Here is a 25,765-nt window from a genome sequence, read left to right as displayed (position 1 = left end):
GCTCTCCTTTGTATCCTGTTTCCCGTGAAAACAGTGGTGGGCTGTGTTTTGCAAGAGAAACTGCTAAGTTATGTTGAACTTCATTTTATTTGTGAAGTATTTACAAGACTCAGCACTCTAATAAACTCATCTTTTTCTTTTAAATTTTGATTGAAATGTATGTAATATAAAACTGACCATCTTAACCATTTTTAAAAGTACAGCTCAGGCCGGGTGCAGTGGCTCAGGCTTGTAATTCCAGCACTTTGCGAGGATCACTTGAGGCCAGGAGTTTGAGACCAGCCTGGGCAATATGGCAAAACCCCATCTCTACTAAAAATACAAAAATTAGCTGGGCGTGGTGGCGCAGACCTGTAATCCCAGCTACTCGGGACTGAGGCAGGAGAATCGCTTAAACCTGGGAGATGGAGGTTGCAGTGAGCCGAGATCGCACCACTGCACGCCAGCCCTTGGTGACAGAGCAAGACTCCATCATAAAAAAAAAAAGAGAGAGAGAGAGAGAAGACTACAGCTCAGTAGTGTTAAATGCACTCACACTATTGTGCAACCAATATCCCAAACTTTCTCATCTTCCCAAACGGAACCTCTGTCCTTTATTAAACACTCATTCCCATTCTCCCTCTGCCAGCCCCTGGCAGCCCCCATTCCACCTTCTGTCTCTGAACCTGAGCACTCGAGGGACCTCACATAAGCAGACACAGCATCTGTCCCTATGTGCCTTATTTCACTCGGCATCATGTCCTCTAGGCCCATCCATGCTGTAGTGTGTGTCAGAATTTCCTTCCTTACTCATTTTAAATTCTGAACTAATCTTAGACTTACAGAAATATTGCAAAAAAAAAAATTATCTAGTTTCCATATAGCCCTTACTCAGCTTCCTAAACATTGCCATCTTATATGACCGTGGTACAATTGTCACAACCAGAAAATTAACCTAAGTATAATACTATTAACTAAATAGCCCTCATTGGAATTTCAGTGGTTTTTCCACTGATGTAGTTGTTTCTGCTCTAAGACCCCACCCTCGACCCCCAAACCAGGCCGGAGCTGTTGCTTCCTTCAGCCCCTGCAGTCTGTCAGCTTCACAGTCTGTCTTTCACTGCCGTGGCACCCTTGAAGAGAGCTATGTTGTCTAATGTCCCTTTACGTGGGTTCATTTGATATGTTCCGTGACTGCCGTGAGATGATCATTTTTTACAGAGAAAAGACGCTAAGTATTTCTCAGAACATCTTACCAAGGATTTCATGAGGTGGACACAGCTTCTCATGGGCAGAAGCGGCCTTATCATTTCATTCAGGTGGTATGTACCTGGTTTCCCCACTGTGGAGTGGCTACTGCTCCCTCAGTAGCTGACAGACATCTTGGGGGGCCACCGTGAGACTGTGCAAGCCCACCTCTTCTCAGGCCTTTGCCCACCACCCCGGACACCCATCAGTAATCCTGCCTCCAACAGTTCTTGCTGGAGCACTGGCTTAAAAGTGATTTTCTGTTTTTCTTTCCTTCTGCGTTTAAGTGGAATTCTTCTGTATGGAAGAGTTGACCCTTCTCCTCCATTTATTTATTTAACTGATGATTTCTATCGATACAGACTCATGGATATTAATTTTATTCCATGGGTTAAACCTCGACTCTATCCTTATTTATTCTGTCACTGAAACTGCTCCAGCTTTTGCCCCCAGAGGCTCCCCGGGGCAGTGTGTGTGTCCTTTTCATGCCCCATCTGCTTCCATACACTTCCTTTCTAGTCCTAAAGATATTCCAGGTTTTTTGTTTTTAAAAACTCTGCCAATGAGATTACCACGAGAGGTGCCTTACTTAGAAAGAAAGGAGGAGAGAGGGAGGGAACAAAGGAGGGAAGGAGAGAAGGAACTGTCTAGTTCTGTAATGAGTCAAGTACCTGAACCATGAAATATTCACAAAAGCTCCAGCCTGGCTCAGTCCTCTTCTCCCTCAAGGTTCTCATGTCATCCTCAAACTTGCCTAGGTTTTTGGTAAAAGACATAAGAAGCAATGTCCTGAGTTTGGTCAGGAAGGCATTCCAGGATTCCTGAGTTCGAGAAGAGTCCTTCAAGGGGTCGGAGAGCACAACACACCTGCAAAGACATGAACAGACTATCTGGGAAAGACCCTCCATGCACAGCACCACGACTCAGCAGCTGCCATTGTCCTGAGCGGCAATTTTCTTCCTTCCTCCTCCTTTTTTTTTTTTTTTTGAGACAGAGTTTTGCTCTGTGGCCCAGGCTGGAGTGCAGTGGCACAATCTTGGCTCACTGCAACCTCCACCTCCCAGGCTCCAGTGATCCTCCCCAGTAGCTGGGATCACAGGCACGCACCACCATGCCTGGTTAATTTTTGTATTTTTTTGTAAAGGTGAGGTCTTGCTATGTTGCCCAGGCTGGTCTCGAACTCCTGGGCTCAAACAATCCTCCTGCCTCGGCCTCTCAAAGTGCTGGGATTATAGGCATAAGCCACCGCATCTAGCTTCTTCCGTCTATAAACAGTCAAAAACATGAGGCAGGCGGTAAGAAACCAGGTTAGGAAAAGGCTTCATCATGAACTGGTCATGAACACGAGCAGTAAGTTCTACAGAAATTCAAAGGAGAGTTTGCTATAGAATCAACTGGAAAGGGGGAAAGGGATTTACATGAGCCCTGAGCCAAAGACGCAGCTCTGAGTCCTCTGTAAAATAATGTGATCACGCCTCACTCAGTTCCCTGCCTCCTTCAAAATCCATTTTGGTTCCTTGGGATCGACAGGATAAATTTAGATTTCTCAGCACAGCACAAAAGGACCACGATGTCTCACTTTACTTCCTCTGCTTCCCAGCTCAAGCCTGCTGACCTTCTCCCGCTCTCCTCTCTTCATGAGAACATTCCTTCCACCCAGGCGTGGCATCTTCACAAACCTCCCCCAATCACCATCCCAACTGCTCTGCCCACACTGCTGCTAGGCTGTGGGCCTCACAGGAAAACACTCCCCTTCTCTGGACCTCTATCCCTCCCACTAGCCTGTGAGCTCTTGAAGGGGAAGGTTAATAAACAATTAACAAATAAAGGCTTAGAACATGGCTTAACATATAGAGCAAACAGTTTAATTACAAAGAGGCTGAACCCATGATGTAAAAAGGTCAAACACACGAAATTACACAAAGTTCCCAACAGATTTGGACAAGGCAACGTATTTATCTGATAGGCTGGAAATGGTAAATTTCTTTAGCCTTGGTAATAGTAATCTAGAAAGATGATTAATAAATCTGAACTCAGAAATAATTTTAAAACATTGATTCTATGAGCTTCACCAGTTCTCCTTAGTAAATATTTTACTTGAATTACCAAAAAGTAGCAAAATGAACTGACTCTAAGTTCCTTTTTTCCGTGCCCCAGCATATCCTTTGGAGGCATGGCTAAATTCATGGAATTATAAATCAGTGGACAAAACAGTGAAGCAGCATACACTCTACATGTTCCACCATGTGAACAACCAGAACCAAGAAGAAAACTTATAACTTGGTGGCTGGCTTTAATTCCATTCAATCCACCCCACTGCACACTTTCTTCCCTCAAAGACAAAGGGACCAGAGCCGCTCACTCCAAAGGTCCCCCAGAGGACTAACTTGTATTTATCCACAGTAGGAGCTTGCTAGAACCTATGAGTTAGGTAGTTTATCCTTAAGGCATTCTCAAGGATTATAATTACCAACATTTATTCCCGACCAGACGCGAATTCTCCTGTGCGCCTACAGGGGTGAATGGAAATGGAAACTTAACAAGTGCCAACCACCAAAACAGTAACTGTTTTCAGAGGTCAATCAGATACACAGTCATGAAATGTCCTATCTCTATTAGATCCTGTTTCTATATCATCATCAATTTTTTTTAAGTAAAAAAGAACTACACTTCAGAAGTTCACATCAAGCCTAAATCATTAACTCAGAAAAGGAGAGCCCAAAACAACGAATGAAGTCAGGGATGGTGGGCCAATCTGGAGAGCGGCGTGATCCCCCCAGGCGCGCAGACTGCAGGGGCTGGAGGCACATGTGGAACAAGGGGCTCCCGGCTGCAGCCTCAGCGAGACACCACAACGGCTACTGCTGTCACAAGTCACACTGCTGATCACAAGTCAACCCTTGCCTCTACCAGCCTCGTAACTAGCAAAAGCCCAAAAAATGCACAAAATCTGTTACCAAGCAATTTTCCTTTAGGGAAGGTATCCTGAAATAATTAAGGATGCTCACAACATTTGAGCTAGAAAAGTATTCTAATATTGTTGTTTATAACGATAAGTAAGCAATAACCTAAGCCCAGCAGCAGAATGTATAAATAACTTACGGCACATTAATACTATGGAATATTATCCACTCACTAACACTGAGAGTCTGGAAATGCATTTATTGTTTGTGGAAAATCTTTACAATATATTGAGTGAAAAAAACAAGTATAAACAACACATAACGTTATATTAACTTAAAATACACACACGTATTATGTATGCATAAAGAAAAAAAGTCTCAGAACATACATACCAAAATACTAAGAGTTAATATCCATTTTCTTTTTGCTCATTACCTTTTTCTAATAATTCTACAATGAGCATGTACCTCCATCTGAACCCTCGCCACCATAAGCATGGTGACCATGGCTATAATGACCTGCTGGACCAGGGCAGGGTCCATGTTCGCCCCTGAATCCCCAGGCCTTGGGTGAGTTCCAGTGCTAAGCTACGAGATACAGACCATCGGTTATAGAGGAGTTAACGTGCTGGCTGGCTCAGCTGGCAATGGCATCACTGAAGAGAAAGGGAGTGAGCTACCCCAGGAGAGAGAGCAGGGCAAGGCGGAGAAAGCCCATACAATCTATTAACTGCCAAAGTTTCAGGATTCCCTTTCACAGTTTCTGAAGGGGTTAGGTCAGCATTTTATAACTTGTGTTCTTAGGAACTCTCAGGTGTTAAGGTAAAGAAAAAAACACAGGTGCCGTCATTTCAAAAAAAAAACAAAAACCTTTAAGGACCCGTTCTACAGAAGAACTGCAGGAGCTGCTGCTGTCAGTCTTCAGAAAGGACCCACCAAGAGGCCTCCCAGGACTATGGGCCCAAGACCCGCTCCTCCCAGGCAGCACACTCGGGGGATGACTGCTTCGAGTTCTTTGCCTGCCTAAACAGGAACTCCACAAGGACAGGCACCAGGTCTCCTTGACAGCACCCCATGGACACTCACTCGAGATTGCTGAGTAAATATTTATTACTACCCAGGAAGCCAGCAATCTGTATCATGTCAAGTATTAACCAAATGAGGTAAAATTAAAGATACACTTACCTGTCACTCTGTTTATTACAAAAATCATTTCTTATTTTGTCCACAATAGAGGTTCGGGGAAGGATGTTGGTTTTGTTTTTTTTCTTGGCATCATTTTCAACTATCACTATTAACCAGTCCACAGAGCTATGAGCCTTCAGAACATTCTGCCACTTGGTGAGGTCATCTTTTACTGTAGCTTTATACACTTCGGTATCCTAAAAACAAACAAGTCACTGTGAAAGCAGGTTAACTAATGCCCTTTAGTTTATACAGCAAAATGTGCCTAATAACAGCCTGCAAAGGCCGCAATGTTTTAAAGCATCAGGACAGGCTCGGGACTTAAATTGAATAAAAAGCCCAGCGGCCTAGCAAGCCTGCGGGCGTGCTCTGTGGGTCTCAGTGCCGCACACAGGCATGCATGATCCCCAGTTCTCACAACCCCAAGGGATGTGAGCGTCCCAGTGATCCAGATAAAGAGACTGAGAGTCAGAGGGTTGAGTGAGCTGCCCACAGCAATACTGTCTGTTAGGCAAGTCAGGGCTTTAAAACCCAGGCCCACTATGGCCAACAGCTCTGGGCCCAAGCACTACATGACTGCCATCCTGCTGTGTGCCGTGCCTTCATCTCAGGAGGCAAGCTGGCTGTCATGGCACAGCCCAGACTGCCCACAGGAACCCCAGGCAAGCTTCCCGGCAGCTTCTACCACAGCCTCTGAGCTCTGTACCCCTGGGAACCACCCCAACCGCAAGTCTGCGAAGGCCGTGTCAGAGGCAAGCAGCTACAGCTGTGAGACCTCAGAAAGAAGGCGACCTGCAGCTTCCGCAAGGCTGCTCTACTTCCCGACAGGCAGCAGGGAGCCGTGCCATCCCAGAAATCAATCCTGCTTCTCACGCAGAGGCCCAAGCATGAGCCTGCCAGAGAAAGGGCCCTTTCTACATACATGCCAAGGCCTTCAGCTTGGTTCTCTTCCATAAAGAACCAGGAAAACAGACACTTTGCCTGTTATCACTTATAACTGCGCTTCTATTCCATAAATCCACTCAGAAGAGTCCAACTCCCTTTAGATTTAGAAAATCTAAAACCAAGATACTTAATTCATTTCCAAGTTAGGCACTGACAATATCTGGACACAGTAACTCACAGCTACCATCTAAATCAGTGCTTTCTCCTCTTTTGCTAGTTCCTCACTGTCCTGCCCTAATTCCTCCGGACTTTCAAGTCACTCTTGAGTAACACTCAGGCAGAGAGAAGCCAATCAGAGTATCCACGAGTGAGTTAAATCTTAAATCCTGGCCAGGCACAGTGGCTCACACCTGTAATCCTAGCACTTTGGGAGGCTAAGGTGGGTGGATTGCCTGAGCTCAGGAGTTCAAGACCAGCTTGGGCAACATGGTGAAACCCCATCTCTACTAAAAATGGAAAGATTAGCCGGGCATGGCGGTGTGCACCTGTAGTCCCAGCTACTCAGGAGGCTGAGGCAGGGGAATTGCTTGAACTGGGAGGCGGAGGTTGTAGTGAGTCAAGATCGCACCACTGCACTCCAGCCTGGGCGACAGAGCGAGACTGCGTCTCCAAAAAAAAAATATTAAATCCTAAATTCTGTACCCAGCCTCTCTTTTGGTTTAACTAACTAAATAGAAAGTTCCAAAAGGCAGTACTTCTCATTTGTATCCTGATTTTAAAAACTGCTATGTCCTGATTTAAATTACAAATATCATACAATCTGAAAAGATCTTTTACTTTGAAAACTGAGATTAAAACCAACTGGTAAACTCAATTTCCTGCAAATAAATACCCAACAGTAACTTAATTATCTAGTGCACATTTTCCACAGCACGGCAGTTCTTGGGACTTGAAGCATAGATTTTACAGCACTGGTGAACCATTCTGTGCTGGAAGCCCCAACACGCCATGCCTGGAAGCAAAACCAAAAGGCCAACAGGGCCCAGAGCCTGTGACTGCCAAGAAAATACACATAGCACCCGGCTGACCCCATCCACACGTCACAGGTGAGCCATCCAAGGAGCTGCTGGAAGCCTCTCCACCTCTTACAAGGCCACCAAGAGCCCTTTAGCTGGACTCCTCCCCACCCCCACCCCAGAAGGAGTCCTGGCTCCAAGTTGTCCACACCGGGCAGGGGCTGCCACATCCCAAGGGGACATTAGAGCAGCTCTGCTCAGTCAATTTGCAGGAACTCTCCAGAAGAAACCTCACAGAGCATGAGGCAGGACAGAGGGAGTACAGAGAAGTTCCACATAATCCTGGGGCAAACCGGTTGGCAAGATCCAGCCTATCACTCATCCCAGCTAGCAAACAAAACGACATGTTAAAAACGACTCTGTGACTCTTAAGAGGACCAGCAGAGCCAGTGAAGCTAAGGGTCTCTAAAGAAAACAAAGTCCCAGCATGGCCAAATAGTGAAATCCCATCTCTACTAAAAATAGAAAAATAGCCATGCGTGGTGGTGGGCGCCTGTAGTCCCAGCTACCCAGGAGGCTGAGGCAGGAGAATTGTATGAACCTGGGAGGCGGAGGTTGCAGTGAGCCGAGATCATGCCACTGCATTCCATCCTGGGCAACAGAGTGAGACTCCATCTCAAAAAAAACAAAAAAAAAAGAAAGAAAGAAAACAAAGTCACTACAGGAAAACCCATGAGCAGTGGGCAGGAATACATGCAGGACCCAAGAGCTGAGTCAGAGGGGAAGGCTCCAGCTCCAAGACAGAGGCAGCAGCAGCCAGGGGCAGGGCATCAGGGCCCAAGGTGGGCAAGCACAGCAGGCCGCCCCAGGTACCAGAGCTCAGCAGTGAGGAGGGTGTCCAGGTGGCAGTAGAGGGAAGTACAGAACAAGATGTGAGGCCCCAAGTGAGATGATGAAGGATTTTGGGGCTGGCACAGAGGTATAAGGGTGTAAGTGGTATAAGGGGCCAAGCAGGGCACAAAGGGCATCCCCCAGACAGGGATGCCTTTTTATTCAATTTAAGTCCCGAGCCTGTCCTAATTGCAGATCAAGTGAGGTGAGGAGGAAGTCTGTGCCAGGCACACTGCCAGGCAAGTGTGGGAATGGGCATCCACCTGCTGGGAGCAGAGCAGCAGTGACAGGAGGATGGTCATTCACAGAGGGATTACTCCCATCAGAAACACAGAGGAGAACCAGTGCCTGGCTCCTCCATGTGGAGAAGGGAGTTACAAACATAGAAGGGAGGAAACCAGGATCACCCTTGCAGTGCTGGACTGAAATGGGCTCGTGTGTACATGTATGTATGTACGTACACAAGCAGCTACACACGAAATACAGATGTAAATGTGTGCACGTACACGTGTGGGTGTACACACGTGTTCTCTAGCCATGCCCACTGAGAGCTCACCAGCAAAGCTCTCCCCTAGCTCCAGGTCCTGACTTCTAAATACAGTTTCCCACTGGAAGGAGCCAGGGCTGAGCCCTGAGATGAAGCAAGAGGAGGGGATGAGCCCAGAGAGTACTCAAAGAATCAGTACATTCTCAGTACATCAGTACAGAAGCCAAATTCAGAACAATCTGCACATCAATGATATTAATTATTAATACTATGATAGTAATAGATTACACTCCATCAAAAGCTAGAAATCAATGAGTGAACTGCTTCTAGCCAAGATGAAGTGACAGGGACTAGATTTACACCACTGCCTGAACCAACCAAAAAAAAAAAAAAAAAAAAACACAGGGTGGGCATGGTGGCTCACACCTGTAATCTCAGCACTTTGGGAGGCTGAGGTGGGCAGATCACTTGAGGTCAGGAGTTCGAGACCAGCTTGGCCAACATGGTGAAACCCCGTCTCTATGAAAAATGCAAAAATTAGCTGGGCATGGTAGCGTGCACCTGTAATCCCAGCTATTTAGCAGGCTGAGGCAGGAGAATTGCTTGACCCCAGGAGGTGGAGGTTGTAGTGAGCTGAGATCTCACTACTACACTCCAGCCTGGGTGATAGAGCAAGACTCTGTCTCAAAAACAACAACAAACAAACAAACAAAAACCAAAACAAAACACCAAAAACCAAGAAACATGAATCAGTGGTTTTCAAGACCAGGACACCAAGGAACAAAGGACAATGATTCCTCCCCTCAACACTCAGAGATGGGAAACAAGCCCAGCAAGCCCTCTGGGTGCCCACCAGAGGGTGGGGAGGGCAGGGGGTGACAGAGGGGAAGCTGGCAGACTCCCTGAGTTGAGGACACAGAGCCCAGGCCAGGGAGATCAAGACAGCTAGACTTCCTAGGACTGTGTTAGGAGAGGAGAGGGACATGGTGAGTAAAGTAGACCGGCACAGGGCCCTCGAGTATTCCACAGGGAACTGACGAGTAAGTACATGCGGGAACCACCCATTGCTGGAACAGAACCCGCAGACACGATCAGAGGCACCCATGCTTGGCAGTCACACAGGGCAGGGAACAGGGCTGTCCCCATAGGCCAGTCTGGAAAACCAGAGGAACTCAAGACTGTGTTGCCTCGGCTGTAAGGAATAATTTGTCCTGGACTGATCACTGCTCCAGACCTATCAAATCATAAAGCTATACTCAAAAGGAAAAATCAATCAATAGAAATAGCCCCAGTAATGACACAGAAAGCAATTAAAAGAGTTACAGTAACTACTGTCACTTAGTTATTTCATATGTTGAAGAAGGTAGTGGACTGAAGTGAAGAAGACACATGGAAGATACTTAATTAAGAAAAAGACCCATATGGAACTTTTAGAGATGAAAACCTCAAATCTAAAATGAAAATATGCTAAGTGGAATGAGAGCCGATTAGACACTGCAGAAGAAAAGGTTAACACGAAGACAGAGCAGCAGCAATTACACAAATGAAACACCAAGAAAAAGGGAAAAAGGACTACAAAAAATATCAACAGATTATCAGTGAGTTATGGAACTTCATGTAGCGTGTGCGCGCACACACACACACACACACACACACACACACACATACTCCCCCAGAGAGGGTGCAACAGAAAAACAATCTGAGGAAACAATGACCAAAAATGTTCTACATCAGGCCATGTGCAGTGGCTCATGCCTGTAATCCCAGCACTTTGGGATCACTTGAGGCCAGGAGTTTGAGACCAGCCTGGCCAACATGGCGAAACCCCATTTTTACTAAAAATACAAAAATTAGCCGGGTACGGTGGCACACGCCTATACTTCAAGCTACATGAAGATGAGGCACAAGAATCGCTTGAACCCAGGAGGCAGAGGTTGTGGTGAGACAAGATGGTGCCACTGCACTCCAGCCTGGGTGACAGAGTAACACCCTGCCTCAAAAATAAAATAAAATAAAAATGTTCCAAATTAAATCAAAACTATAAACCCCAAGCAGTTTGAATCACAGTGCGCCGAAGGAGTAGGTGGTGGGATCTCGCCATGGGTCTGATTAGCCCTTTCTCTGCCTTGCTTGCTTGAGCTTCAGCAGAATTCGAAATGGCTGGCAGTAAGGTGGGAAAGGACTCCAGAAAGGCCAAGACAAAGGCGGTTTCCCGCTCGCAGAGCCGGCTTGCAGTTCCCAGTGGGCCATATTCATCGACACCTGAAATGTAGGACGGCCAGTCATGGACGTGTGGGCGCGACTGCCGCTGTGTACAACACAGCCATCCTGGAGTACCTCGCTGCAGAGGGACTTGAACTGGCAGGAAATGCATCAAAAGACTTAAAGGTGGCCGGGTGCGGTGGCTTATGCCTGTAATCCCAGCACTTTGGGAGGCTAAGGCAGGAGGATCGCCTGAGGTTGGAAGTTCAAGACCAGCCTGACCAACATGGAGAAACCCCGTCTCTACTAAAAATACAAAATTAACCGGGCGTGGTGGCTGCCTATAATCCCAGCTACTCGGGAGGATGAAGCAGGAAAATCGCTTGAACCCGGGAGGCAGAGGTTGCAGTGAGCCGAGATCGTGCCATTGCACTCCAGCCTGGGCAACAAGAGCGAAATTCAATCCTCCCCCCAAAAAAAAAAAAAAAACTTAAAGGTAAAGCGTGTCACCCCTTGTCACTTGCAACTTGCTATTCCTGGAGATGAAGAACTGGAGTCTCTTGTCAAGGCTACAATTGCTGGTGGTGGTGTCACTGCACACACCCACAAATCTCTGACTGGGAAGAAGGGACAACAGCGGACTGTCTAAAGGATGCCTGGATTCCTTGTTTCTCAGGACTCTAAATACTCTACCAGCTGTCCAGTGTTGGTGATTCCAGTGGACTGCATCTCTGTGAAAAACACAATTTACCTTTCTGTAATTCTATTTAAGCAAGTTAGAAGTTTAATTAGCTTTCCAACCAACCAAATTTCTACATTCGAGTCTTAACCATATTTAAGGGTCACTGTGGCTTCAAAGAAGCTATTGATTCTGAAGCAGTGGGTTTTGACTGAGTTGACTGTTTTTTAAATACTGCTCGGATTTTAATTGTGATGCAGAAGGTATAGTAACAAACATCTGGTTTTGTACAAACATGATTTCCTCTCCGGTGGATATGCTCAATAAAGGTCATATCCACCCCCACAAAAAAGAAAAAAAAAATAAACCCCCAAACCCCAAGTACAAGAAATATTAAGAAATCTACACCAAAGCATACCATAATCAAACTGTTAAAAACCAATATAAAGAAAAAAAATCTTGGCCCGGTGCGGTGGCTCACGCCTGTAATCCCAGCACTTTGGGAGGCCGAGGTGGGCGAATCAGAAGGTCGGGAGCTCGAGACTAGCCTGGCCAACACGGTTAAACCCCGTCTCTACTACTAAAAATACAAAAAAAATTAGCTGGGCATGGTGGCGGGCACCTATAATCCCAGCTACTCAGGAGGCTGAGGCAGGAGAATCGCTTGAACCCGGGAGGCGGAGGTTGCAGTGAGCCGAGATTGCTCCACTGCACTCCAGCCTGGGCAACAGTGCGAGACTCTCTCAAAAAAAGAAAAAAGAAAGAAAAAATCTTAAAATGCAAAGAAAAAAAGCCACTTTTGTACAAAATAACAAAAATAATAATGAAAGATTTCTCATGGGAAACAATGGAACCCAAAAGAGGTGAAACATCTTTAAAAAAAAATTGTCAACCTAGAATTCCCTAACGAGTGAAAATATTTTTCAAAAATTAAGGCAAAATAGACTTTCCCAATGTACAAAAGCTGAAAGAGCTTACCGTAACAGACCTACACTACAAGCAAGGTTACAGAAATCCTTCGGTCAGCAGGAAATCCAGACCAGATGAAAACCTGGATCTGCACAAAGGAAGAGACAGCAACAAAGGCTGGGCACGGTGGCTCACGCCTGTAATCCAAGCACTTTGGGAGGCAGAGGCGGGCGGATCACAAGGTCAGGAGTTCGAGACCAGCCTGACCAACATGGTGAAACCCCGTTTCTACTAAAAATACAAAAATGAGCTGGGTGTGGTGGTGTGCACCTGTAATCCCAGCTACTCAGGAGGCTGAGGCAGGAGAATCGCTTGAACCCGGGAGGCGGAGGGATTTTAAAGAAAAGGAACAGGCAGCAATGGAAATGGAAACTGGGTGGGTAAATATGTGCAGTGGCTCACACCTGTAATCCCAGCACTTTAGGAGGCCCAGGTGGGCAGATCACCTGCGGTCAGGAGTTCAAGAATGGCCTGGCCAACATGGCAGAAACCCCATCTCTACTAAAAATATAAAAAATTAGCCAGGCGTGGTGGCAGACGCCTGTAATCTCAGCTACTTCAGAGGCTGAGGCAGGAGTATCGATTGAACCTGGGAGGCGGAGGTTGCAGTGAGCTGAGATCACCCCACTGCACTCCAGCCTGGACAAGAGCGAAACTCTGTCTCAAAAAAAAAAAAAAAAAAAAAAAGACATGATTTTCTATTTTAATCTCTCCAAGGCATAACAGACTGTTTAAGGCAAAAAATAGTAACAATGTACTATGGGGTTTTAACAAGTATAGAAAATGTATGACAACAATAACAAAGGCTGGGAGGGAGAAAACAGAAGTCAATGATCCAAAGTTCTTATATCACGCATCAAGTAATATAATTCATATTACTTGAAGGAAGAATTATGCTGTTACAGATGTACTCTATAAGTCCTAAAGCAACTATTCAACATAACAGAGTTTTACTTTAAATCTAAAATCCTCAATATTATCAACTTACTCCTTTTTTTAAATAGACGATAATCAAGATTTGAAAAAAAAAAGGCTATTAGAATGTAATTTTAAGGAAAAAAGTCTCATTCAAAATGGCCACAAAAGCTAAAGCTAACAATAAAAATGTAAAACTTTTACGAAAAATAAGGGCAGAAAAAAGTCATAAAGAATGGAAAAACATACATACCACATTCCCTGATTCAAGAAGACTCATGATTAAAATTCTTCTCAAATGAATTAACAACTTATTCAAGGCAATCCCAATCAAAATGCCTCCAGCCTTCTCTTTTTCAACTGATATTCCAGTTATCTACTGCTGTGTAACAGGCCACTCCAAGCTATAGTGGTGTAAAACTTTCTTTTGCTCACGGATCTACAACTGAGAGAGGATTTGGTGGGAACCAAGGTCTCTGCTCCACCTGGTGTCAGTGGCGTGTTGAGGCTGGGAGCTAAAACACACAGTGGGACTCAGCTGGGGCAGGCTGAACACCTGCGAGTGGCCTTCCCACGGGGCTGCTTGGCTTCCCCACAGCATGGTGGCTGGAATCTAAGAACAAGCACCCCGAGAGAATCCAGCAGAAGGCACGTTATCTTTTAGGACTTCCTCTCAAGTATCACAGTGTTGCTTCTGCCACAGTCAGAGGCCCACCCAGATTCAACTGGAGGAAACACAGGCCCAGCCTTTCAACAAGGGAAAGTCACTGTCACATAGAGAGGAGCATGTGGGATGGGTATGCTGCTACAGCCATCTTCAGAAAATAAATTTGGACACTCGACATGTGGAAGGGAAAATGTAGATGGCCACAAGGTTTATTTTAAAAGAAAGATATTGATACATATTATAAAAGTGTAATAGGCCAGGCACGGTGGCTCACGCTTGCAATCCCAGCACTTTGGGATGCCGAGGCGGGTGGATCACGAGGTCAGGAGTTTGAGACCAGCCTGGCCAATATGGTGAAACCCCGTCTCCACTAATAATACAAAAATTAGCCAGGGGTGGTGGTGGGCGCCTGTAGTCCCAGCTACTCAGGAGACTGGGACAGAAGAATCGCTTGAACCCGGGAGGTAAAGGTTGCAGTGAGCCAAGATCAAGCCACTGCACTCCAGCCTGGGCAACAGGGTAAGACTCCATCCCAAAAAAAAAAAAAAAAAAAAAAGCGTAATAATTAAAAGTCTGATTCTGGCACAGGATAGACAATGATCAATAGAACCAAAGTGTCTAGAATATTGTGCATACAGGATGTTGGTTTAAAATACAGGTGACATTCCCAGTAAGTGGAGAAAAGACACACTATTATGAAATGGTGTTAGGCCAATTTGCTATGCATTCAGACAGTAAAATTAGACCCTCAACTCCCAGAGCTCCTAATATATATAAATAATTTGAAGCTATACGGGTCCCAATATAAGACATAAATTACAAAATTATTAAAATAAAATACAGAAAATCAGTTCTCTTCAGACAGACAAGGCCTCCCTAAGCAAGATACACTGCCCAGAAGCCATTCTGTAAATGACATATTTCACTCCATAAAAACTGTAAGTTGTAAACACCTAAGCACCAAATAATACATCAACCACCTATACAAAACAGAAACTACAGGAGATGCAAGAGAAACAGAAACACACCACTAACAGAAGACTTTACCATACCACTGTCAGTTAAAGATAGGTCAAATGGACAAAATTCAAAATATAAATGACCTAAACAACACAAGCAGTAAGATAGGTCTTGTGGATATTTAACATTACAATCTGGAAACAGAAAATACATTCTCAAACACACATGAAATGTCCAAAAAAACTGATCATTTATTAGGTCACACAACAGTCAAATTCATAAAATTTTAAAAATAAGTTTCATAAAGCAAAAATATAAACACTTTCTGAACACAATGCAATAAAGCTAGAAATTTCTAAACAAAATTTTTTTAATCTTTTTTTTTCTGTAAGCTAAAAAGCTTTCTGTTAAACAACTATTTAATGAAAGGGTGAAATACAAATCAAAAATAGAGAATTTCTGAAAAATAATGATAAAACAATGGGATATATTTAAAGTAGTAACCAGAGAAAAATTCCTAACTTTAAAGACCTATATCAATAAAAATTTAAGAATGAAAATAAATGCATTTCAAACGCCCGAAAACTAAAAAATGAACAAAGTAAACCATGAGAAAACAAAAAGAAGAAAATAATACAAATGAAAGTAGAAACTTGAGTAGAAAACAGACTAACGATAAATCAGATGAATACATTAAAATCCTGGTTCTCTGGAGGGAAAAAATCGAACTAGCTAATTTAATCAAGGAAGAAAGAGAGAAAGCACAAATATACAAAATAAGAAATAATGATGGGGGCTGGGCGCCGTGGTTCATGCCTGTAATCCCAGCACTTTGGGAGATCGCCTGATGTCAGGAGTTTGAGACCAGCCTGGCCAACATGGTGAAACCCCATCCCTACTAAAAATACAAAAATTAGCCGGGCATGGTGGCAGGCGCCTGTAACCCCAGCTACTGGGAGTCTGAGGCAGAAGAATCACTTGGACCTGGGAGGCAGAGGTTGCAGTGAGTCGAGAATGCGCCACTACACTACAGCCTGAGTGACAGAGTGAGAGTCCGTCTCAAAAAATAATAATAATAATAAATAAATAATGATGGGAAAATAATTACTGACAAAACATTTTAAAAGTCAAAAAAGCTGGGCGTGGTGGCTCACGCCTGTAATCCCAAAACTTTGAGAGGCTGAGGCAGGCAGATCACCTGAGGTCGGGAGTTTGAGACCAGCCTGACCAACATGGAGAAACCCCGTCTCCAAACTACAAAATTAGCAGGGCGTGGTGGCGCATGCCTGTAATCCCAGCTACTCGGGAGGCTGAGGCAGGAGAACCACTTGAACCCAAGAGGCAGAGGTTGCAGTGAGCCAAGATCGCACCACTGCACTCCAGCCTGGGCAAGAAGAGCGAAACTCCATCGCAAAAAAAAAAAGTAAAGAAAGACCACTTAATATACCTCAATGAAAGTAAGTTTTACAACTTAACCGAAATACGTAATTTCCAAGAAAATGTACTTTATCAAAATTAGCAAATGGCTGAAAACAGACCAATTTTCATCAAAGAGTTACAAAAAAGTACCTGGCCCAGCTAGTTTCCCAAAATTCCACCAAACCTTAGAGACCAGGTAGCGCCAGTGCTACATAAATGACTTCAGAAACAGAAAGTAAGTAAAAACTTCCAAATTATTTTAATGAATTAAGTAGAACATCAATACCAAAACCTCATAAAAAGAGCATAAAACAAAAGTTACCGATCAACCACTTGTGAATTATAGATGCAAAAACTCCTAAATAAAATTCAAGTGATAGACTCTAATACCACATTAAGAAAATAATACTATGACTAAGTGGGATTTATACCAGCAATGCAAATAAATATAGTTCAATATTGAACTATGGCGGCCGGGCGCAGTGGCTCACACCTGTAGTCCCAGCACTTCAGGGGACTGAGGCAGGAGGATCACTTGGGGCCAGGAGTTTGAGATCAGCCTGGGCAACATGGTAAGATCCCATCTCTACTAAAAACACCAAAAAAAAAAAAAAAAGGCAGGCGTGGTCCCAGCTACTTGGGAGGCTGAGGTGGGAGGATGGCGTCAGCCTAGAGGGGCGGAGGTTGCAGTGAACCAAGATCGCACCACTGCACTCCAGCACTCCAGCCTGGGTGACAGAGCGAGACCCTGTAAGGCACCGTGGCTCACACCTGTAATCCCAGAACTTTGGGAGGTGGAGGCAGGTGGATCCCTTGAACCTAGGAATTCAAGACCAGCCTGTCCAACATGGCAAAACCCTATCTCTACAGAAAATACAAAAAAATTAGCTGGGCGCATGCCTGTGGTCTCAACTCAATCAAGAGGCTGAGGTAGGACAATCACTTGAGCCCGGGAGGTTGAGGTTGCAGTGACCCAAGAACCCACCACTGCACTCTGGCCTGAGTGACAGAATAAGACCTTGTCTTTAAAAAAAAAAAGAGAGAGAGAATTTTTAAAAATCTCTAATAAAATAAAGTGTAAAACACAGAAGCAGACTTGCACAAAAGGAAAGGCAGCCCTTGCTCTTGAGTATGTCTCAACGTGATCAAGATGTTAGTTCTGCATATGGGAACTTATAAACTTAGTTTGATCACAACAAAAATACCTCAATTAAACATGCAAGACTAACTACAAAAACCCTGAAAAGGATGAAGCTGAAGGAGACGTTAATAAACACTATGATACATACTGTCCAAAAGGAAAAGTTTAGTTGCAAATTTGGAGCTGTTCTCAGTAGGTCTGCTCCTAGTTGTGGCGCAGGTGTACCAATTCTGAAACTATCTTATGCACGTTGTAGCACTGAGCAAATACAGAGATGTGTTGATGTTGGTGAGAGCAGAAATAAATGAGAGGCAAGAAAGAGCCCTCCAAGTTATAAAATTGGACGCATCAGTATCAGTTCGTGATTTCTTTTTTTTCTTTTGAGACAGAGTCTTGCTCTGTCTCCCAGACTAGAGTGCAGTAGCACGATCTCGGCTCACTGCAACCTCCACTCCCAGGTTCAAGCAATTCTCCTGCCTCAGCCTACCGAGTAGCTGGGATTACAGGCATGTGCCACCACGCCCAGCTAATTTTTGTATTTTTAGTAGAGACGGGGTTTCACCATCTTGGCCAGGCTGGTCTCAAACTCCTGACCTTGTGACCCACCCGCCTTGGCCTCCCAAAGTGCTGGGATTACAAGCGTGAGCCACCATGACCGGCCCAGTTCTTGATGTCTAAGGCACATCCCTATCAGCTCTGTCTGCGTAAAGGGTGGAGAGGCAGCAACGCCACCATGGCAGCAAGCACGCCTGCTGCCAGAGGAACCAGGGCTCCATGGAGACGCGGCTGACTCCAGCACAAGGGCAACGAGCTCCCAGAACCTAAAACATCTTGGTATGCCTCAAATGATTAGAAAGTGCTCAAAAGAACACAGGTGCCAGTCTGAAGTGACTCTTGATGGCCAAATCTGGGACAACCTGAGCATCAGTAAAGGTGACTGACTAACCACTGCCTGAGCAGAAGGCCCTTGCAGGCGCTCCCCAGAATAGGGGACGGGCTGACGGAGATGGGTGGAAAGGTCAGCACCCTTAGTAAAGACTCTGGCTCAGGAAAGAATCACCACTGGGTGAGGGGCAGGACACTTAAATCGCCTCACAGTGGCTCCCCAGAGTTAGATTACTGATCGCAAGGGGACAACAGCCCCACGCCAGGGAGGAACCGGACAACTCCTGGAGGAGTGATCAAATCGAACATTACAACCAGGTGTTATGGGGAGAAGAGCTGGCACAGCAGGCCAGGGACAGTGTCCTTCTCAGGCACGCCAGGCAGAGGGGGCCTACGGCGCAGCCTGGTGAAAACCTTGGGTACAGAGTCTCCGGCAGAGGCTTCCCCGGTGGAAATCTCCTCACGTGTGTCCTCACTGGCTGTGTGGAGCCCGTGGGAAAGGAGGCGGAGCAAAGTCAGCAGAGAAAGGGTGCATGAGGTGAAATCTGAGGAAAACCAGGTGCAGACTTACAGTTCCTGTCTCATTAAAATCACCAACAACTACCTCTGTGCCTCAGGTCTAGGCTACAATGTCACAGTGTGTAATAATCTATGTACTTTCTATGCTGCTAAATCTTGCTTTATTTGACTCAAAATACAGGAAGAAGTGCCGCACAGAATTTTCTATTAGTTCACGACAGAAGAAGTGTGTCAAGAACGAAAAGGTTCTTTCTGGATTCATGAATACACAACCAGAAAATACAAGTGAAAGCTGTGGCGGCCACAGGGCTGAGGCCCACTCGTTCCACGGAGAGTCACGGGGCGCCTCCTGCCCAGGCACGGCAACAGGGAGGAAGGACATGGTCCTAGCCTCAGTGGGGTCACAAACAAGCAGAAGAAACAACAGATGACCAAGGACAATGGAGCCACGATGGGAACACAGGGGTCATGAAAACAAAGCTGAAAGTCATGATCAAACACAGCTTAGACTAAGCCTGGCAGCCGTGGGGCACAGTGAGACAGCTCACAAGACTGGAGACATGGGAACACGACCACGCTCGGCGCCACGGTGAGCACAGCACGCCAGACCAGGGCGCAAACACGCAACAGCAAGTCCCGCACTTGGCCAAGGAATGAAGGGACAACCTATAACAGAGTATGTTAAAAAGTAAATTTGAAAAATTACAGCTGGCTCAACAAAGCCTAGACCCACACCTTTCCAACCCCATCCCACCGCGCGTCCTCTTCCCCCACTGGTACTCACACAGCACTCTCCACGCATCTCCAACTCCACCCCACCACGCGTCCTCTTCCCCCACTGGTACTCACACAGCACTCTCCACGCATCTCCAACCCCATCCCACCGCGCATCCTCTTCCCCTGCTGGTACTCACACAGCACTCTGTCCAGTAAATATGGAGGAAGGGAAACGTGAGCAGAGCTTTGTTTCCTTCTTTGGGCAGCAGCTCCTCTTTGAATTGAACAAAGTTAGACTCTAGGTGAATCATCTTCGGAGCCCGGCCATAGGACCTGTAAACAATTGTTTGAAGTCACTGAGAAAACAACTAAACAGCATTCATCAGAAGAGGGGAAATAGAACAACAAATAATGTAATGGTATGCATGAGTTCAGAGCACATATATTAACCCCAAATCATAACTACGCTATTCTGCTCAGAAACATTCTAGGAATTATTTTAAACACAGTTCACGTGTACAGGTCAAAGCTCCATTTCCACAAAATCTTTCATTTTCCTCAAGGATACAGGCACAGGAATACATTCTTCCAAGTACTGCATTTAACCAGGGCCACTACAGACTCGACGGTGGGTTTCAGTGTAACGGAATCTATAATTATGTCACCATAAAAGAAGAAAAGTGTGTCCCAAATGTCCAAAGTGCAGTTTTAATTACGAAAGCTTTAGGGTTGCATTCGTATTTTTGGAACAACTTGTATTTTATCCAAGAAACAAAGTTATTTGGCGAAAATATAACATATTTTTGTTTGCAGAGCACAAATAAAATAGCAGGACAAACCTCTACTTTATTCTCAACCCAAGAAGAAGGAACCCATCAAGAAATCCCACACGCCCCCTGCATCTCATCCAAGGCTCTCAGTGACGGCCTAACGATGCTTCTAACAGTGAACCACACCGCGTGGATCTCTGTGCCGTGCCTTTACTTCTCACTTCTAGCAGCTGCGTCTCTTCTGAATGTTATAGCTGGATTTTGTTTTTCATCCGATCTAAGGGTGCTGTGTTTAATAACTTAAAACCAACCATCATGAATGGGACTATGCTGATGCTTAAATATGTACATTTTCTACTTGCCGGCTCTAGTTTTCCCCTGTCCTTTGGGAGATTAATCAAGTTTTCTTTTTCCATCTTTTCTCTCTGCTGGTTTGAAAGTCTTATCATCTATCTCTATTCTACCGTTGGTTGCATTTTAATTCTCAGTACGTAACTTAAGGTTTTATTACAAAGACTAAAGTTAAAGTCTATCTCCCCTTCTCTCTGTTCTCCTTCACACACATCTGAAATTTTAGATTTTTAATTTTTTTAAAAAGTGACACCTTAACTTCAGCAAAACATGTCATGTTGCTGGCAGACGTTGCTTTCACCCTGGATCCCTGGGTTCATCTGCCTTCGTATTGGGATACATCCTTTAATTACTCAGAGGGTCGCAAGGTTTCTGTTCTTATAGATGTCTGAAAATATTTGTATTCACTTCAGTGCACCTATCTCCGTATCATGACAAGCAGTGAACATATGTGAATGGGACTCTGGGGTAGACAGGAATGGCTTTCTGTACACAGAAGTGATGGAACAGAACTGCACACAGAAGTGATGGGGCAGAACTCCTGGCCATCCTGGCCCCCACACGGCCAGCCGGGGGCCTAGAGGAAAAATCTCTCAGCACCTGTGGCTCACGCAAGGCCCTCAGGGTGGGAAGCTGTGACAGAGTCTTCCCTCTTGATGACACTGTGAATGATAAAGAATTCTAGGGTCTGGGGTACTTTCCCTCAGGACTGTGGGGAGGCTGCTCGTAAATGTATTTTATGTTGCACTGTAAATGGTTCTGTTAGAAACTGTCTACTTGGTTCTTCTTCTGTTTCTCTCTGATTCCCTGGCATGATTTTCTGTTTGCTTTGTTTTCTTCATTCTGCTTGACATTCACTAGGCTCCTGCAGTATCCCAACTCCCTTCTGGGAGAAGCTTGACAGCCATTCTTCAAATGTCACCTGTCCTCTGTTCCCTCCACTTTCCTTCTGAAAAGCCCCTCAGGTGGATCCTGGAGCTCCGTGATTTATCCTCCAGGGCCAGCTTTTCCTCCATGCTCTCCCATTCCTGCTTTTAGCAATGATCTCCCGAGTCTCTAAGCTCAATTCTTCCAGCTCACTAATTTGCTTTTCAGCTATACAGCTGTTTAGTGCATCTGGCAAACTTTGTTTCAATTGTTTTCATTTCCTAGATCCAATCAATTAATTTTAAATTTCTACTTTTTATCAAAGTAATTATTTTTTGTTTTATTTCATTTTATTTTTTGAGCCAGAGTTTTGCTCTTGTCACCCAGGCTGGAGTGTAATGGTGCAATCTTGGCTCACTGCAATCTCCTCCTCCCAGGTTCAAGCAATTCTCCTGCCTCAGCCTCCCGGGTAGTTGGGATTACAGGCGTGTGCCACCATGCCTGGCTAATTTTGTATTTTTAGAAGAGACAGGGTTTCACCATGTTGGCCAGGCTGGTCTTAAACTCCAATCTACCCGCCTTGGCCTCCCAAGTGCTGGGATTACAAGTGTGAGCCACTGTGCTGACCTGAGATAAGTACTTCAATACAAAGAGTACTGAAAAGCTTTTCTCTCTCTCCCTCTCTTCCTCCTCACCGCCCACCAACACACACACACATCCATGTCTTGGTATGTTTTCTGCTGCTGTAACAGAATATCACAGGCTGGGTAAATTATAAGCAACAGAAGGTTATTGCGCTCACAGTTCTGGAGGCTGGGAAGTCCAAGATCAAGGTGCCAGCATCTGGTGAGGGCCTTCTTGGTATGTCAAAACCCGCAGAGGGCATCACATGGTGACAGGGCAAGAGCCAGAGAGCCAAAGAGAGCTCACTTTGATAAGAAAGCCACTCACGTGATAAGGAGCCCACTCCCGTGACAGCAACATTAATCCACTCACGAGGGCAGAAATTAAGTTTCCAATGCAAGAATGTTTGGGGACACATCCAAACTACACCAAGTACCTGCTCCATCCTCCTCAACCTGCCCTCCTGCATGAGTTTCCAGACCTGCTGTCACAAACTACCACAAACCTGGAGGCTTAGGACATTAGCTTATTCTTGCATGTTTCATGAGGCCAGAAAGTTGAAATCAAGGTATGGGTGGGCTTAGTTCCCTCTGGCTGCAGTGGGAGGTTCCTTGCTTCTCTCCCAGCTTCTGCTGGCTGCTGGCATCCTCAGCATTCTTCGGCTCATGAACACATCACTCTCATCTCTACCTCCATCTTCACAAGGTCTTCTACCCTGTGTCTGTGTCTTCTCTTCTGCCTCTTACAAGGACACTTGTCATTGGATTCAGGGTCTACCCTAATTGAAGAGGATCTCACAGTGAGGTCCTTATCTTAACCATATCTGCGAAGACCCTTATTCCAATAAAGACACATCCTGAGGTTTCAGGTGGACGTATCTTCCCTAAGGTAACACATTTCTTTCCCAAATTTTAAGGTTGTTTCTGAAAAACGTAGTCTTTTCCCTGGGGCCATCCAATTTTCCTGAGATAAGTTCTCTACTCTCTTGCCTAGGAAGCATGGATCTGGCTACAGAGTTCCCGGAGCGGAGCTGTGCCCTGTTCAGAACCTAGGCCGGCTGGTTTTAGAATGGCCCTTCTCCCTTGCCTTCTGCAGCACCTCAGATCCGAGGGTCTGGAGCTCTTCTGTCCACAGAAAGACTTTCCAGGTTCCTGAGGGGCGGCGGGGGTGGGGGGGGGGGTTGGGGGAGTGGGCAATGACAGCAATCACTTCACTACAGACAGGAGTGGGGACCCTGAGTCTAACTGTCCCTGTCCACACCTCTGCCAACCCCCATCTCCAGCCCTGCTTTCACCCGGGCCTTCCAAGATCTGGCACTTTGTCCCTTGTCAGAAATTCCCCTCCTCTTATGGAGCCACAAGACACAAGGGATTGAACTTCCTCAGCTTTCTCTCCCAATTCCTCCACCTGTTTCTCTTTCTCCCAAAAACACAGCTATATCCTGCGGCCTCCGCTGCCTCCTCCTTTCTCTGTCTTTATGCACGTCTGCCTTTTTAGTTCTTTAGGGTGATTTGTTTAGCATTTGTTTGGTCCATTTTTTTTAGTCCATTTATTTGTTTAGTATTTATGTAGTCCATTTACTGGAGTTTCGGAAAGGGGAAGAGATGAATACAAATATTAAATCTACACAGTTTCTTTTTATTTATTTTTTAGCCAGGGTCTTGCTCTGTCACCCAGGCTGGAGTGCAGTGGTGCAATCTCAGCTCACTGTAGCCTCCAACTCCTGGGCTCAAGTGATCCTCTCACCTCAGCCTCCCAAGTGGCTAGGACTACAGGCGTGCACCACCATGTCCAGCTAATTTTATTTCTTCTTTACAGAGACAGGGGTTTCACTATGTTGCTCAGGCCGGTCTTGAACTCCTAGGCTCAAGCGATCCTCCCACCTGACCCTCCTACAGTGTCTGGATGACAGGCGTGAGCCACCATGCCGGGCCTACATAGTTTCTCCATTTAATTTTTTTCTCAAAATTATCTTGTTTCATGAACACACTTTTTTTTTCCCTTTATCTATCAGAATGCCCTTACAGATTACTCCATTTGCTAAACTCTTTTCTCTCTTTCACAGCACTGGGCCTCCTCACATGTTAAGCAATTTTTCTCTTACACTCTGTACACTCTTTATATTAAATATTAGCAACTAAATGCATATCTTGTAAGACACTATAATCAGCACAGAAATTAGACTATATTCACCTGGGTAAGTCAACTCCAGAAAGCCACCTTAATCCCTCATGTTACTAAGGCACAAACTGGTGGTCAGAAAGGAATAATGCTATAAGAATCAGACTTACATAAACACAAAGAACAACAGGAAATTCTGTATACCCTGGTTAAAATCAGATTACCTATGTTACAAGACAAAATCCAAATTTACAAATTTACATTTACATATACACAACTTTATATTTACAAGTAACACCTGCTCTTACCAGAAATAAGTTTTCCAAGAAGAGGATTCCCAGTCAGTGATTTCCTATGAGTATGTCACCAGACGACTAACTGTAAACATGCAACAGAGCAACGGTGATGGCTGATCTAACCTCGCTCCTAATTTTTAAATACCATCTTTCTGTTTACCTTCTTGTCCTTAAGGAAAACGCACAGGAGCCAGGGTGGAGGGAGGGTCTTGTAAGATGGCTGATACAGCCCAGTTCTTCCGCTTTAAGGTGGAGTCTAAGTGAGCACGTGTCTCCTTTGCAAAACGCCTGTGCCTTTAAGACATTCTGGTCAACCATGAAGAATCACAGATCATTCCTATAAAAGTGAGTCTTTAACTCAAAATAATTGTCTTGCTTCTACTTTCCAATGTCTCGTTAAGAAAAACCATCGTAGTCTGGGCACAGTGGCTCATGCCTATAATCCCAGCACCTTGAGAGGCCGAGGAGGGCGGGTCAGTTGAGGTCAGGAGTTCAAGACCAGCCTGGCCAACATGGCAAAACCTGTCTCTACTAAAACTACAAAAATTAGCCGGGTGCGGTAGCGCACACCTGTAATCCCAGCTACTCAGGAGGCTGAGGCAGGAGAATTGCTTGAACCCAGGAGGTGGAGGTTGCAGTGAGCCGAGATTGCGCTACTGCACTCCAGCCTGGGCGACAGAACGAGACTCTGTCTCAAAAAAAAAAAAAAAAAAAAAGAAAACCATGGCATTCCATAAAGAATAAGACCCACAAAGACCCACAGATTATGTGAGGTCATTCTGTTTCTTTAGAACTGAGGCTTTTAACTTGTGCTACTTCACTTGTTCACATAAATGTCTAAACAACATATACTTATTTAAAAACATGTACTTCATTTTAAAAAATGAAGAGAGGGATACAGCCAAAAAACACACAACTCATACCTTCTCCATTCCATTGGTTCTCTTGGAAGCTGCTGAGAGAGCGTTGGATAAACAGAGGTAAATAAATTCTGATCTCCAGCACCTATGAAGGGAAGAAAGAAATTCAGTTACCATATTTTTAGGTGAATACATGCAAAATGGCTCTA

The 25,765-nt window shown here is 45.1% G+C and overlaps 1 protein-coding gene and 1 pseudogene across 22 annotated transcripts in view, besides 1 other annotated feature; one reads left to right on the top strand and one right to left on the bottom strand.

Moving 5' to 3' along the window:
* TRAPPC10 (trafficking protein particle complex subunit 10) overlaps positions 1 to 25,765 on the bottom strand; it is a 94,244-nt gene that overhangs the window by 48,761 nt on the left and 19,718 nt on the right. For 15 of the 22 annotated variants that reach the window (XM_011529714.3, XM_011529715.3, NM_003274.5 and 12 more), the window contains exons 2-5: positions 25,620 to 25,701; positions 19,865 to 20,000; positions 5,316 to 5,512; positions 1,899 to 2,094 (exon numbers count right to left, since the gene is read on the bottom strand). In XM_011529714.3, coding sequence (XP_011528016.1) covers positions 1,899 to 2,094; positions 5,316 to 5,512; positions 19,865 to 20,000; positions 25,620 to 25,701 — 611 coding nt within the window. Of the gene's footprint in view, positions 1 to 1,898; positions 5,268 to 5,315; positions 5,513 to 19,498; positions 19,595 to 19,864; positions 20,001 to 25,619; positions 25,702 to 25,765 lie in introns of those variants that run through there. The other 7 variants (XM_011529719.3, XM_047440973.1, XM_011529721.3 and 4 more) reach the window with 7 other exon arrangements.
* On the top strand, positions 10,646 to 11,813 carry H2AZP1 (H2A.Z histone pseudogene 1; annotated as a pseudogene).
* Positions 25,217 to 25,429: a silencer, noted in NCBI's record as "fragment chr21:45452244-45452456 (GRCh37/hg19 assembly coordinates)". NCBI's record gives its function as "represses an EF-1alpha promoter that drives an FKBP-Casp9 reporter gene in an ReSE screen in K562 erythroleukemia cells {active_cell/tissue: K562}" and the evidence as "EXISTENCE:reporter gene assay evidence [ECO:0000049][PMID:32094911]".

Source organism: Homo sapiens, chromosome 21 (assembly GCF_000001405.40).
Source record: "Homo sapiens chromosome 21, GRCh38.p14 Primary Assembly".
NCBI classification, from domain to species: Eukaryota; Metazoa; Chordata; class Mammalia; order Primates; family Hominidae; genus Homo; species Homo sapiens.
The sequence above is the reverse complement of the archived record's forward strand: the minus strand, read 5'-3'. Positions and strand labels throughout refer to the sequence as shown.